Raw genomic sequence first — 14193 nt, forward strand, 5'->3', positions numbered from 1 at the left:
AACATTTCAAGCTTTCTTTCATTAGTAATTTGCATTCAATCAGAGCTTCTAGAAGCTCTTCCTCTCTCCCCTGTGATATAGAGTTAAGGATAAATAATGACAACAGTGTCCCTAATTTTGAAGGACAGGTGTCCTGATCAGAGAAACAATATACACACGATTATAAGACATAAGATAGCTAAAAAATATTAACTAATGTAACAAGCCACTCTATGGTCAAAGCTTAAGTACCGGAAACAAAAAACTAGAAGGAAAATGTCCTGTAGGACTCTGAGTAAGTTCTTGCAATGGGCTGGATGTTTATGTACCCCACCCCTAGAATGGATTTGTTGAAATCCTAACCCCCAAGGCGATGGTACTAGGAGGTGGAGCCTTTGTGAAGTGATTAGGCCTTTAGGGTAGAAACCTCATGAATGGGATTAGTGCTCATATAAAAGAAGCCCCAGAGAGCTCATTCACTCCTTCTGTCATGTAGGACCCCACAAAAAGGTGCCTTCTATGAACCAGAAAATGAGCCCTCACCAGATGCTGAATCTTCTTTGATCTTGGACTTCTCAGCCTCCGGAACTGTGAACAATAGTTCTGTTGTTAATAATCCTCCCAGTTTACAATATTTTGTTATAGCAGCCAGAACAGACTAAGACATCCCTTTATTTTCAGGTGTCCCATCTGTGGAATAAAAAGCATTATCTCCACCTCTCTATCCCTTGGGGGAAGGGAGATTTGGGCCTTTCACAACAGTTGTGCTTACACCAAAAGCTAAGGGCTGTGCTTGGGGCTGGTCATTGGACCAGGATTAGGGCCAACCTCCCAGGGGGCCTGGGAGCACTTCTTGACTGCTGTCCTACAAGGGCAGGGGTGCCAGAAAATCAGACCCCTGGAAGTTCCTCTTTGTTCAACAATAATTGGCCAACTGGCAAACACTGCACTAGGCAGGCCAACTAGACTGACCCCTACAGGGAGGGAGAGGTGCCCTGGTTAGCATCCTCATTAGTAGGGGAATCCAGTCAGCTCAGGAGTGCTAGCCCTGGCCTTTGCCCAGAGGAAGGTGATATCTTCTCCCACTCTGCCATTAATTGAACATTATTATATCTCCTTTGTACTTCACACTGTGCAAACCCTTGTCTCCAGGACCAAGAAGTCTCCCTAAACTATCCCCTCTCTCCCTCCACGTCATCCCCATACCCACAATCATTGCATCCTGAGGATTCTACCACTTGCATAAATGGCTCTTCTGCTCCCCAGGGCTAGACTGGGATGAGGTAAATGAGATGCCCAGGGTGTAAAATTTATGGAGACACTCACACCCAGGGATTGTGTAAGTCCTGGCCTGCCTCCTCCTTGCAGGCCTCATCACTGTCACTGCCTCCTAACTATGCTCCCTGTCTCCTGTCTTGCCTCCAACCAATACATTTTTCATATGGCAACAAGAATTTTCTAGAGCAAATCACATCTGATCACATTACTCTCTTGCATCGTGGGCTGTCCTTTGCCCAGGCACTGGCATGTAGATAAAACCTCTGTGGTCTGGCCCCTACCTATGGTTTTACTATTCCTGCTACTTATACCCTCCATTTCCACTAGATACTGGGTATTCCCAGAACAAGCCTGGCCCTGGAATCCTGAGGTTTTTCTCATTTTGAACCTTTAGAAAATGCTGCTGCCCCTTAGCCTCCTTTCTCTCCCACCTAACTGGCAAACTCCTCCCACTTTCATACCTAGCTGTAGTGTCACCCCTCATACCTCTTCCTGGAGTCAACTTTCCAGAGTTTGTGCCTCTGTTTCCCCATGGTACCGTGTGCAGCTGTCTCAGCATTTTATGAGACTAGCTACTCACATTTCCTTCTCTCCCATCAGACATCTGAATCCTGCAGAACAGTCAGTTTCTTTTTCATCTTTACATCCCAGAGCCTCATGGAGTGACTTGTAGGGAGACAGATTTCAATACTGGCTTCCTGTCTAAATGGAAACTGGCTCTGCAGGAGATTCTGAAATATGGGGAGGCAGCAGGCAAAGAGATAAAAACAAGTGTTTTTCAGATTCTGGAGGAAGTGCAGTTTAGGAAAAACAGCTTTGTTCTTTTGTCATCCCTTGTTGAGGGCCTAAACTGAAGTCTTGATCCCAGTTACTGCAAGAGGAATTTGGGTTGGTCCTTTACAATTCTCCCTTGAGGTCAAATGCTCTTCCTTCAGATCCTTTTTCATTTTCACTTTTTATTTTGAAAGAATTTCAAACTTAAAGATTTTTAAAAGAAAAGTACAAAGAATGCCCTTATGCTACCTGTCTAGATTCACTTATTGTTAGTATTTCACCTCATTTGCTGTATTATTCTCTCTCTAAAGATATCATTGGTTTTCTGAACCCCTTGAGAGTAACTTCCCCACATAAAGTCCCTTTACCCTTTAATAATTTAGTATGTATTTCCTAAGAGCAAGGACATTCTCTTCCAAAACCTTGTTACAAGTATTGAAATCAAGGCATTTCACACTGATTTGATTATTGTCAGTTAATCTACAGTCCACAGTCCAGCTTCACCAGTGGTCCCAATAATGTCCATTATAGCAATTTTGGGGGTTGTTCAGAATCCAATCCAGGATCACACATTGCTGTTGTTATGGTGTTTCTTTATTATCCTTTAATTTAAAATAGTTCCTCAGCCTTTTCTTGTTTTTCATGACCTTGACATTTTTGAAGAGTACAGGCCAGTCAATTTGCATAATGTCCCTGGGTTTGGACTTGTCTGAGGTTTCTGCTGGGTTAGGACTGTTGCGCCATGGGGAAGTCTCACATCAGGAAGCAAAGATGGGGGTTAGTCTCATTGTTGAAGACATCAGCTTCAATCCCTTGGTTAAATTGGCATCTGCCAGATTACTCTGCTGTTATGGTTTTCTTTTCTTTTGTAATTGACAAGTAACCTGTTGGGGAGATACATCGAAACCATGTAAGTGTCTTGCTATTCAACAACTTCCACCCTCAGATATTTTCCCTCAGGTGTTCCTTCACTCAGTCGCCACCCTCTCTCCTCAGCACTTTTCTTTCCTGGGGAATCTGGCAAAACTCTCTCCTCTGAATGGTTTTGGGGTACACACAGGGCTTCAACACTCTAGGACTTGGTTTCAGCTCCTCTGGGGGGTGGGCAGTGGTCCTGGTTGTCTCCAATCTACACAGTTCTTCAACTTCTTGGCATACAGCCCCTCTTGCGTTAACAGACCCCATAGCTGACTCTTCAGCATCACAGTTTATTGTTTGGCTGCCATTTTCTTCCCATCCCCTTCATTTCCATCCTCTTAGGGGGATTCCTCCTCATGCCATGTCTTCTCTTTGCCTGAGTCAGGCTGAAGGCTTGTATCTCCCTGTGGGCTCTCCGTTAGTCACCTGGGACTCCAGGAATCTGGCTCAGCTTCCTGACCATCTGGCTTTCCCTCACCCTGCTCCTAACACAAGTTAACCTTTAGAGTCTCCTGCCTGGTTTTAGTCTGTGGAACCTATTTTTTGTTCATTTGTTTGTCCATCCATCCATCCACCCATCCACCCCTCCAACTCCCTACGCATCCACTCATCCATCCATCCATCTAGTCCCTTTATATCCTAGGCACGTGCAGAGCAACAGGGGGATAGAAATGACTTAGATGCCATAGTCATAGGCATTGTGGAGCTTGGAGCTCACAGTCTACAAGGGAGACAGACTTTGGAACAAAAAAGCAAAGCACAATCTACACTGGAGGTTTGTGGAGCAGAGAGGAGGGAGCATCCAATTCCACTTGCATCCCCAAAACAGTTCATGATGGAGAGGGTGCTAGAGCTACTTATTGAAGATTGAATGGGAGTTTGTTGGGAAAAGAGCCCCTGAACAGAGGGGATGGCATGTGCCAAGACCAGGCTTGAGCAGGCAGAGTCCACTGCAGTGTGAATCCATGCAGGCAGACCTGCTTGAGGTAAGAATGGACAGAGACCCTGGAGACAGCTCCTTAGAGTCCTTTCCTGTCACACAGAGTAGTGCTGACATTATCCTTTAGGCTAAATGGAACCCAGATTTAGCAGAGGAGTGATAGGCACCATATAGCTTGATTTTTAGCTTGGTGCTTCTGGCCAGTGACGGAGGACATTCTGAGTGGGGAGATATGGGGATCTGACACAGATGGGGCCCCAGGTGAGAAGCAGCAAGGGCCCCCATGGTGACAGTGAACGCCAGGATGAGGGGAACTTGGAGACATTTCTAGCTTAGAATCAACAGGTCTTGGTGACTAATTTGATGTGGGATAAGGGAAAAGGGTATCTGTGGTGATCCCTCCCAGGTTTCTCTCTATAGTGAGTGGATAGTAGGTTATCTTCTAGAGATGGGGGAGTACAAACAAGGAACAGGTTTAGGGTAGAGAAGTGATGAGTCCAGTCATGCTGCCTGGCTCCCTCAGCAATCATGGTGCATCCTAGCAGCTCTGTTTGCCTGGAATGTGTGCCTCACATTTATTGTCTGCCAAATACCCCGGCTTCTTCCTGAAACAATCTCCTAAAATCATAAAGATGATGACCTGAGCTCGGTGAAAATAAGAAGCTGATCACTCTGCTCTGAAGATTACAGAACTGCCTAGACACAAATATGCTGGATCCTCTCTCTACCTTGACGTGGTGCGACAGAAGGAAAGTCAGACTTGGACCCCAGCCCAGGCACTTAGAAAAAAACAGAAGAAACTTATTACCACAAGCTTCAACCTGGAAGACGGCCCCACAGCAGGGCTCCCCAAAACAGAGAGTGAGCACAGTTTCAGGTCATATACACCCCAAAGTATGTATACACGGGAGCTTAATTATTACCTCCATCTCTCCTACAACATCAAATCTCTGCAAGACTTTACTGGAAAATGGTGGGGTTCCAGGCTCTCAGTTCTCTAGACCTGCGGAGAGTGTTCCCCCAGCCCTGTGGCCCCCTTCCTGTCTGTTGTGCTGACACAGGTGCATAGGCATTGCTTTCTCTACACATTTCTGGGTTTGTATAGCTCACTGATGCGTGGAACTTTTAGCAGGAAAAGGACGCGTAGTGGAGAGGAAATTCTGATTTCCCCCAAGAAGTGCCATCTTCCCTCAGTGTTTTCCTCTCAAGGAGGGGCTTGTGGGGAAGGGAGATCACATTATCCGCTATTGCTTGGTATCCATGCATACCACCTGTGGGAGGCCTTATCCTTCCCTGCTCTGTCCAGTGCCTTAGCCATTGGCCACATGCAGCTCTCGAGTTTACATTTTAATTAACTAAAATTCAATAAAGTTAAAAATTCAGTTTCTCAGTGGCACTAGCCACATTGTAAGTGTTCCATGGCCACATGTGGCTAGTGGCTATGTATTGGACAGCGTAGACAGGGAATATTTCTGTCATCACAGAGAGTTCTACTGGACAGCACTGTTTTATCACAACACCCCCAGATATTACTTGAAAGCTATAGGACCCAGGATCCTTCTACTCTCAAGTTGTGCTTCTTAGAGGCTGGAAATCCACCAGAGACCTTAGGTTAGGAAGAGGGCAGGAAGGCCACAACCCCCAGGGACCTCATGGGTGCTATATAGGGACTGGGCAAGGAGCCAGGGGCACTCAGTCTCATGGAGCTAAAATAGGAAAAGTGACCCCCTGAGGTAGCTCCCTGCAGCGTGGGTTCCAGCAGCTTTCTCCAACACAGAAAGTGCCGCCAGAGTTTGGGAATGTACAGGTGGCCTAGCCAGACCTCTGGCTCACTATTGAGGCTGGTCTCCTAGCATAGGGGCACCTGCTTGCCAAGCCCTTCCCCCCTGCTCTGTGGTCTCTGAAAAGCCGCCATTGAGAGAAGCACAGCAGTCACTGACTCACTACGGTCAAATCACTGCCAGGCTTTGGTTTCTCTACCTTTAAAATACATTCCACAAGCTGAATTGAGTCTAGATACAGCATGAATACCACTTTGGGGACAGGCCACTGAGGTGAATTGGGTGGCAATTTGGTATGGGAAAGTCTCCATGAAGGGACCTGTCTGTGGCCTCCCTGGATGGAGGGTGGAGTGGTCCACTGCCTGCACTTTCTCTCCATCTTTCCTTCTCCTATGAAGGTTTAACGGTGGACAGAGGAGCCTGTGTCTCCCCTCACTGTCCTTCGGTCTCCTTGGCAACAGTCATGCCCCTTCAGTGAGCCCCTCTCCCAGGTCTTTTGTGGCTAGACTTTCTTGGCAGAAAGCCATGAGTGAGACGTGGAAATGCGGAAGAAATACAACCCACAGCCAAAGGCCTCCTTGTTTTTCTGCAGCTAGAGGGATGCTGAAGAAGGCTGCTACATTTGTGAACTTCTCCTTCCTTCTGGGCAGCCCACAGTATTTTGGGCACTCCATTGCGTTAGTCAATGTGATTTTGTTGGTGGTGGTGTTCTTCCTCTTTCTGAGAGAAGAGAAGAATTTTTTTTTTTTTTTTTTTTAACGGAGTCTTGCTTTGTCACCCAGGCTGGAGTGTAGTGGTATGATCTTGGCTCACTGCAACCTCTGCCTCCCTGGTTCAAGCTAATTCTCACACCTCAGCCTCCTGTGTAGCTGGGATTACAGGCACCCGCCACCACACCCAGCTAATTTTTTTTTTTTTTTTTTTTTTTTTTTTTTTTTGTAGAGACGGGGTTTTGCCATGTTGGCCAGGCTAGTCCCAAACTCCTGCCCTCAAGTGATCTGCCCGCCTTGGCCTCCCAAAGTGCTGGGATTATAGGCATGAGCCATGGTGCCTGGCAAGAAATGGGTCTTATTCACTGCCAGGCCCATACTTGCAGGCCTCCTTATGCCCTCTCTTTCACCTTCACCAACTCAGAACCTTTTAATTGGGCAAAAAAAATGTACACTGGACAGTAGAGTCAGTAAGGCAGAGAACAGGCCAATGTTCATGACAACTGAGAAAGGCAGAATATTCATGGCAGAGTAAGGCAAGAGTGAGGCCTTCAAGCAGGAGAAATTGGCAGCTACTGACAGTGAAAATTTCTTTTCTTTAGAACAAAACACATATGTTTCTATTGGACTACCTGATACAGAAGATAGTGTAGTATGGATGGATAGTGTGAATGACAAATAATGTAAACATATTGTATTTGAAATAAACAAAAATGCTTACACAGCTCGATGGGTTACTTGGAAACAAACTCTGGCTTGACTGTATTACTGAGCAAAAGTGAAGTTGAAACAAAAATACCCTTCTTTTTTGACATGCATTTGGAGATAGGTAGGAAGACACTACTTGTTTTTTTTTTTTCTTAAACTGACTTTCCCTTAAGGCTTGGTCATAGAGGTGTAAACAATGTAAATGAATTCACCATTGCCAATTGTTATATCATATCTATGTTACTTGTGTATTCTGAGATCATACATGTACCTGCCAAAATACCTGGGAAGGGTTGCTGTATCACAGTTACATTTGAGTTCTTGGCAGGCAGGACTGAGGAAGAGTAATTTAGAACGTTTTACATCCTATTTGAAAGAAATCACTAGTATTCCCTTAAACAACAGGTTACAATAGGAAGATACTACCTGGAAGCTACCCTTTTCACTTTGGTTAATTTTTATTTTTTGTTCATGATTTACATAGTTGTTTGATTATTTTGCTTATGGTACAATCCTGCCACAAAGCATTAAAGCAGAAGATATCCATTTTCCCTTCAACATCTGGATTTTTCAAGTTTTATACTTCTACATCCACAGTATGTCAGCAGTTCTTGAGCTTTAAAAAAATAATAAGTGAATAAAACTCTTCTAAGAGTGCAGACGTCTATAACTACAATGGTACTAGATGGGAAGGAAAGAAAGCAGAGGGGAAGAAAGCAGACATTTCTGTTTGCAGGGAAGGTGGTTCAAGTCTTTGGATTTAAAAACAAGTTTCCCAGAGAAGCTGGCTATAATAGATTTTCCAGAAAACTTCCTTTGCCCTCCAAAAAGGACCTGAAAAGCCCCAATCCAAACTTTGGGAAACAACAGTTATGAGATGCTATAAATGAAGATGAAAGCAGAAGGAGAAGGATGAATGTGTCTTCCATTTAGCTACAGCTTGTAGCAATACTTCTTTAGCTGTTGGTGGAGCAGTGGAAACCTCTGAAGTCCCAGAAGTTCTTGGAAGAATAGCAGTAGAAAAGTAATGAACATCACACCTTGTCTAAATCAGTAACAGGGCTTCACGGCTAGGAAAATTTTTTAAACAATAAATGACTCTAGATTAGATGTCTCTTTCCAACATTAAATGTAGCAGAATTAACAACAACAACAAAAGATCCACACATGGATATAGGGATAACAGAAAATTACAAGGCAGAGAAAAGAATCAAGACAATGCTAGAGGTTCAACAGTATTCCACGAGGCTAGAAAATCCATTAACTTTGAAAGCCCTAGCAAAATATCACTCTTGTTTATAAATCACTTATTTATCACACGACCACACGTCAAATCTTTGTCTTTCCACATACACAAGAATCCTACATTCAGCCTTTAAGTCTTCTGCATTTCTTTGCCAGTCTTGTAGCTGAGTATCTTGTTCCCATCAATTTTGGTGCAGGTAACTGGTAGTTGCCGGTGCAAGGCCTTGAATGTGGCATCTGACATTGTTTGATAGTTTTTACTAATTGCTGTTTGATACTCCTTTCCTGCATTCTCTGATTTTAATAAACTCCTTTACAGTTTGGAATTCATTCAAACCAGTTAGTGAATCCTGTACAACTTTAGGACTGACCAATGGCGCATTGCCCTCTTCATAATAATGAACTTGAATTTTAAGCACTTCAGCTACCTGGGCTGTAGGTTGTTTGATGGTGGACTTCTGCTGTTATCTCCAATCATTCCAGAAGTTTTTAGGCTGGAACTGGTGGCTTTCAATACATGCAATAACAGTCTGTTTTAGCATAAACAATACAGAAGCCTTGGCCATTGGAATAATGATCTTTCACATAGGTTTTTTTTTTTTTTTTTTGAAGCAGGGTCTCACTCCTGTAGCCCAGGGTGGAGTGCAGTGGCTTACCGCAGCATCAACCTTGTGGGTAGCTGGGACCATAGGCGTGCACCACCACACCTGGCTAATTTTTGTATTTTTTAAAGTAGGGGCGAGGTTTTGCCATGTTGTCCAGGCTGGTCTTGAACTCCTGGGCTCAAGCGACCCTCCCGCCTTAGCCTCCCAAAGTGCTGGGATTATAGGCATGAGCCAATGTGTCTGGCCTGCATAGGCTCTTAAAGCACTGTCACAGAATTCTCTCCTGGACTTCAGACCTCCATCTACTTTCTCTGCCTGGGGGCCACTTGATTCTTTCTGATCTTCATATCCTTCTATCTTCACAGGCGTGAATGGATTCATGTTACAGTGGGCAAATGCATGTGCTGCTCCTTCCCTGAAGATTGTCATTATTTCCAGTAAAATTGAGACATAAGAAAAGTTTGTCTTTAGTGCACCAAGGTTCTTCTGTATAAATCTGTTCAACTCTTCAGCAATAAGCTCATCCCAGGAAATTGTCCCCTGCCCCATTTTCTATATCCTATTTTGTGCTCAAGAAAAGGGGCTACTCCTAAATAGGGATGGTTGAATTGCAGTGACTTTTATAGACATATAGCCAAAAGAATGAATCTCTCATAATGGAATTCCAGATTTTATCAGCCTGAGATGGTATAATTTTAGATTACACAGATATTCCTAAAATTTCACTGGGTAGAGAGCAGCCCAAGCTGGCTGAATTTGAGGACTGGGTGCTGGGTGAGGAGAAGGTATGCATAGTTGCTGAATTCATCACTCATGCACTCCCCAGGGGAAAAGATCAGGTCTTAATTACAGAACACAGTAACCTGGCTAATAGCAGATTTTTAGACCCAAGAAACAACATTTTATTTAAATTTGATCACTTACAGAAAGAAGCAAGTGCCCCCCAGCCAGAGGAAGTAGGTGGAGGTCTACTTGGAATTTTACTTCTACACCAAGTCAGTGTTCTAGATTGAGTTTCTTTAGTTTGTGATGCAACCAAAGTCAAGACTTTACTCTTTAATGTCTTAATTTCTCACATTCCCAACTATCAAAGTCATAGTCAGGCATAAAATCAGAACTGGACCTCAGAAACATTGGGATGCCTATGTTCTTTTTCTGTTAGACCACTCGCATTGCTTACAGGCAGTCTAGTTAGCCTGTTCCAAGGGCAGACCCTGCACACCCTGTTCCCAACATTTAATTGACAAAATCCACAAAGCACACCTATTACAGGCAAAACTCTATCATTTAGAAAGCTTTCAGCTACAAAGAGCAGAAAACTGAAATAAATGTACATTAAGTGATAAAAATATTAAAGTTACATGGCCAGAATCCTGGAAGTAGGTAGGGTGGGACCAGGTTGGTTAATGTCTATCTAATCACCTCATCAAGAACACCATCATTGTTCACTGTCAGCTTCAACCTGTTGGTGTTGTCTCTTGCGGTCACAAGGTGGCTGCCATAGTTCTAGGTGTCCCATGCGGACATGACACTAATCCAACTGAAGCGAAGGAACCATTTCCTCCCCTGAGTTTCTTTCTATCGATTGGAAATCTTTTCTGTAGAAACCATCCCATCATTTCTCTTACATATCATTGATCAAGATGAGGTCTCATGACTGTTCTTAAAGCAATGGTAGGAAAGAGAATGGGACCACCATAGACCAATCAATATCCATGCCTCACCCTCCTGGGAAGTGGCTAGAGATAAAGTCACCCGTCCTCAGCAGAAGGCCTCAGAGGAAAGTGTCAATATGGAAACAAAATTGGTTTCTACTGGCCAGGAAGAGGGCAATAGATTCGTGTGGGCAACAAACAAACAGTACTTGTTACATCAGGCACAGTCATAAAGGTAGGGAGCAAAACAGATTTCAGGTCTGTTAGAACCTCCTATCAAGCTAAGAAACCTACAATCATTATAGCAACTGAAGGACCCAGTGTGTCCCGGAAACACTTGAATCCCCAGTGGGTGCAGCATAGAGGCAGCTAAGTGGAGTGGCCTAGGGCAGTGATCAGGGAAGGACCTCTGGTAGAAATCTACTTCAAGCTGGACTCTGGCGATCACGTGAGCCAGACATGGGTTGGTAGGAAGAAGGAGCAGCTATTCCTAGTGGAATAGCAATAGGCTCCAAGGCTAGAGTGCGAGAGTTAGTCCTCCCATGCCTGTGGACATGGGGATGGCATTTTGGTCTCATTTGAGATGTGACCATGAGATCCATGATGGCAGAGACTGAGTCTCTCTCATTTACACTTGGATCCCTGATGCCCAGAACAACCTGGAGTAATATGGTGATGTTTGTTGTGGGATTAGATTAACGATTACCTTGAAAGATGAAAAAGTGGGAAGGAAGCAGGAATAACAGCAGGTGTAGGGCATTCCCATGCTTCTTTTAGTGGAACCATTAGAATCCCTGGGACCAGGGGAACACCTCTTCAACTCATCCAGGCTTCTCCACAAAGGAAGTGACTTCAACAATTAAAAGTCCCATCCAGACAGAGATCTTTGTGCTTTTCTTTGTTCCAGCTAAATTTCAAGCTGAGCTCAGGAAGTTTGGTGTCAGATTGTATCCTGGGGAAATGAATTTTCCCTTTTTCCATGAGTCATTGCCATCAATTGCTGGGTGGCTTATATAAATGAATACTAGAGGAGGCAGAAATGTGATGGCTCTTGGGAGACTTCACCCTTTTTCCATGAGTCATTGCCATGAATTGCTGGGTGGCTTATATAAATGAATACTAGAGGAGGCAGAAATGTGATGACTCTTGGGAGACTTCACCACATGATGTCTACTTTGCCATTGGAGTTAGGCACTATCCCAGCCAGACCTGACTCAGAGTGAGAAGCATAGATAATTTACAAGGCCAGTGCTAAATGAAAACATGGGGCCCCTTGTTAAAAAGTATTGAGCAATTCTAGACAGGGACAGCATTAAACCAAGCGGGGCCTTTCTAACCACAGGGCACCAGCTAGCATGGGACAGCTGCGTAGGGGTGCAGGTGGCCCACCTGTGAATCCAGCCCTGGAGAAAAGCATCCACAACCAATTGAATCAAAGAAGGAGAGGTTCCTGGGGCTATTTGGCTATAGTGCTTTGTTTCTTTTCAGATCTCTCAATTTATAAGTGTATAACAACAGTATTATGCTGGTGAAAGTTACCATTTTATGGATCACTGGGGCTGGCTCCTTTCAGAGGAATGAGGTAAATAACAGGGTGCTTAAACGCAATTAGTTGAAGCAACAAAAAGAACAAAGAGAACAACAAGAAAGCTATTATGCAAATGTGTGGCCATTCGCTGCCATTCTGCCTTGGGGAGTTTTGTGGTAGATTCAGGAGTTTCTGCCTGTTTGAATTATTAGTCCTCCTTATATTTAACATCAAGCTTCAGTACAATTATTTATGTTGCTTTTTTTTTTTTTCTTCCCCTCAGCACATTAGCAATTGGCCTCTCTCATCTGGTCTTAACGTGGGCTTAACTGCTGCCTTGACTGAAAACAATAGCAATGAAGGCAAAGCAAGCGCAGACCCTGCAGTAGGCCGGCCAGACAGAAGGTTCTGCTCTGCAGGGGTCCCGGAAAAGAGGAGGCAGATAGGTGCCTTCCCCAAGGGTCCTAGGCTGCTGTCTGTGGGGTTGTGAACCACGAAATTTTCTAGTTCCTTTCAGAAATGACCTGGTCAGACATAATGGAACTGGGTATCCCCAGCCCTTTCAAAAAAAAAATCCTACTAAAGACCCAACCAATGTATTTCAGATCACATTTGTGCCTACATTAAGTACACTAAATTATACACAAAATGTTACTGGAAAGTCCCCAAGAGATGATTCTTGGATCTCATGCAAGAAAGATTTTGGGGTGAGTCCACAGAATAAAGTGAAAGCGAGTTTATTGGAGAAGTAAAGAAACAAAGGAATGGCTACTCCATGGGCAGGGCAGGGCGTTCCCAAAAGCAAGAGAGCAAGGGGAGGAGTGTTCCTATCTTAGGTGCAAAGCTTTTTTTTTTTTTTTTTTTTTTTAAGATGTTGTCTTGCCCTGGGCTGGGCTGTGTGGGGAGGCCATGGAAAGCAGCCTGGACTACAGTCATAAGCTGAGTCATAAGCTGAGGACTTGGCTCACAAACAAGCCCTACATGAGACCCTGCTGGTGGGGGTCGGGGGTGGGTCCTGTTATCCCCTTCTCTGCCCCCTGCCTTCTCTGCAGGAATGCTGGCTGATGGCCCCTGCCTCATCTCCAGGCCCCCATGTCTTCAAGATGCTTGTTTACCCAGTTGCCACAGCCTCCCCAGGAACTCGTGGGAGCAAGCTCTGCATGGCTGACAGCCCCATTTAGAAGAGGGCGCTGTGGAATGAATGGTCCCCCCTGCAGCTCAGCCTCATCTCCTTAATGGATCCTAATTACCCCTGTCCTGCTTATAGCTTCTCTCCAGGACCCACTTGTCAGGATGATGGATGAGGTGACTGGGAGGTGGGGCCAGCTGGGACTGGAGGAATCCCCCCACTGTCTAGTAGGGCGGGGACGCAGGAACTTTCAGTCAGTCCCAAAGATTCTGAGGAAGAGAAGACAACATTGCAGGATGAGCTCTTCTCCCCTTTTGTCCCCAAAACTTGGGCCAGGTGAGTTTTTGCTTAGGAGGAAGGTGATGGGGAATCTGGATGAGGAGAACTGGCTATTCTGGTGTGTAACCTGGGGAGTACATGATAAGGGGAGGAGAGGCAGCCCTGCTCAGGACTCCAAGGCAGGACCCAGAGCTGTATTTTAGGACCCCAGCACTAGGCCTATCAGAAGGCCACATCTGCTTTGAGAAGGCCGGCAGTCACCAGGCACATAGTCTCCAGCTGATCCATGTCTTCATGGACACACTCCCAGCGGGGACTCAGTAAATGAACTGCAAATCATCTGGGGTCCCAGACACAGACCTTTGACCCTATGATCACCAGTAGCAGATGCTGGCTTGACTGTGATTCTCTGTTTCTGCAGATTAATCAGATAAGGGAGAAGGAATACCAGGGTTCTGCTTTTAAGTCACATCTACTCAGAACAAAGGAGTGAAACCTTCCCCTCCTCTGCTACGAATATAGTCTCACATGCTCTAGGAATTAACAATCACAGTCTAACTTGTGAGTTACTATTTTGTGCACTTGTTCTGTGCCATGTGCACTGTAAGCTACTTGTGCACGGCAGGTATCTTACTCATCTTTTCCATCTGTGTTCCCTCGGCGG

The 14193-nt window shown here is 44.9% G+C and overlaps 1 pseudogene, besides 3 other annotated features; it reads right to left on the reverse strand.

The window, feature by feature from the left end:
• Positions 1–8272: 8272 nt before the first annotated feature.
• Positions 8273–9371, reverse strand: CAPZA1P4 (CAPZA1 pseudogene 4; annotated as a pseudogene).
• Positions 11387–12176: an enhancer, noted in NCBI's record as "OCT4-NANOG-H3K27ac hESC enhancer chr7:131580285-131581074 (GRCh37/hg19 assembly coordinates)". NCBI's record gives its function as "activates a minimal SCP1, AML or CMV promoter by ChIP-STARR-seq in naive H9 embryonic stem cells {active_cell/tissue: H9 hESC(naive)}" and the evidence as "EXISTENCE:reporter gene assay evidence [ECO:0000049][PMID:30033119]".
• Positions 12177–12966: an enhancer, noted in NCBI's record as "OCT4-NANOG-H3K27ac-H3K4me1 hESC enhancer chr7:131581075-131581864 (GRCh37/hg19 assembly coordinates)". NCBI's record gives its function as "activates a minimal SCP1, AML or CMV promoter by ChIP-STARR-seq in naive H9 embryonic stem cells {active_cell/tissue: H9 hESC(naive)}" and the evidence as "EXISTENCE:reporter gene assay evidence [ECO:0000049][PMID:30033119]".
• Positions 12967–13756: an enhancer, noted in NCBI's record as "NANOG-H3K27ac-H3K4me1 hESC enhancer chr7:131581865-131582654 (GRCh37/hg19 assembly coordinates)". NCBI's record gives its function as "activates a minimal SCP1, AML or CMV promoter by ChIP-STARR-seq in naive H9 embryonic stem cells {active_cell/tissue: H9 hESC(naive)}" and the evidence as "EXISTENCE:reporter gene assay evidence [ECO:0000049][PMID:30033119]".

This window comes from Homo sapiens, chromosome 7 (genome assembly GCF_000001405.40).
Source record: "Homo sapiens chromosome 7, GRCh38.p14 Primary Assembly".
NCBI lineage: Eukaryota > Metazoa > Chordata > Mammalia > Primates > Hominidae > Homo > Homo sapiens.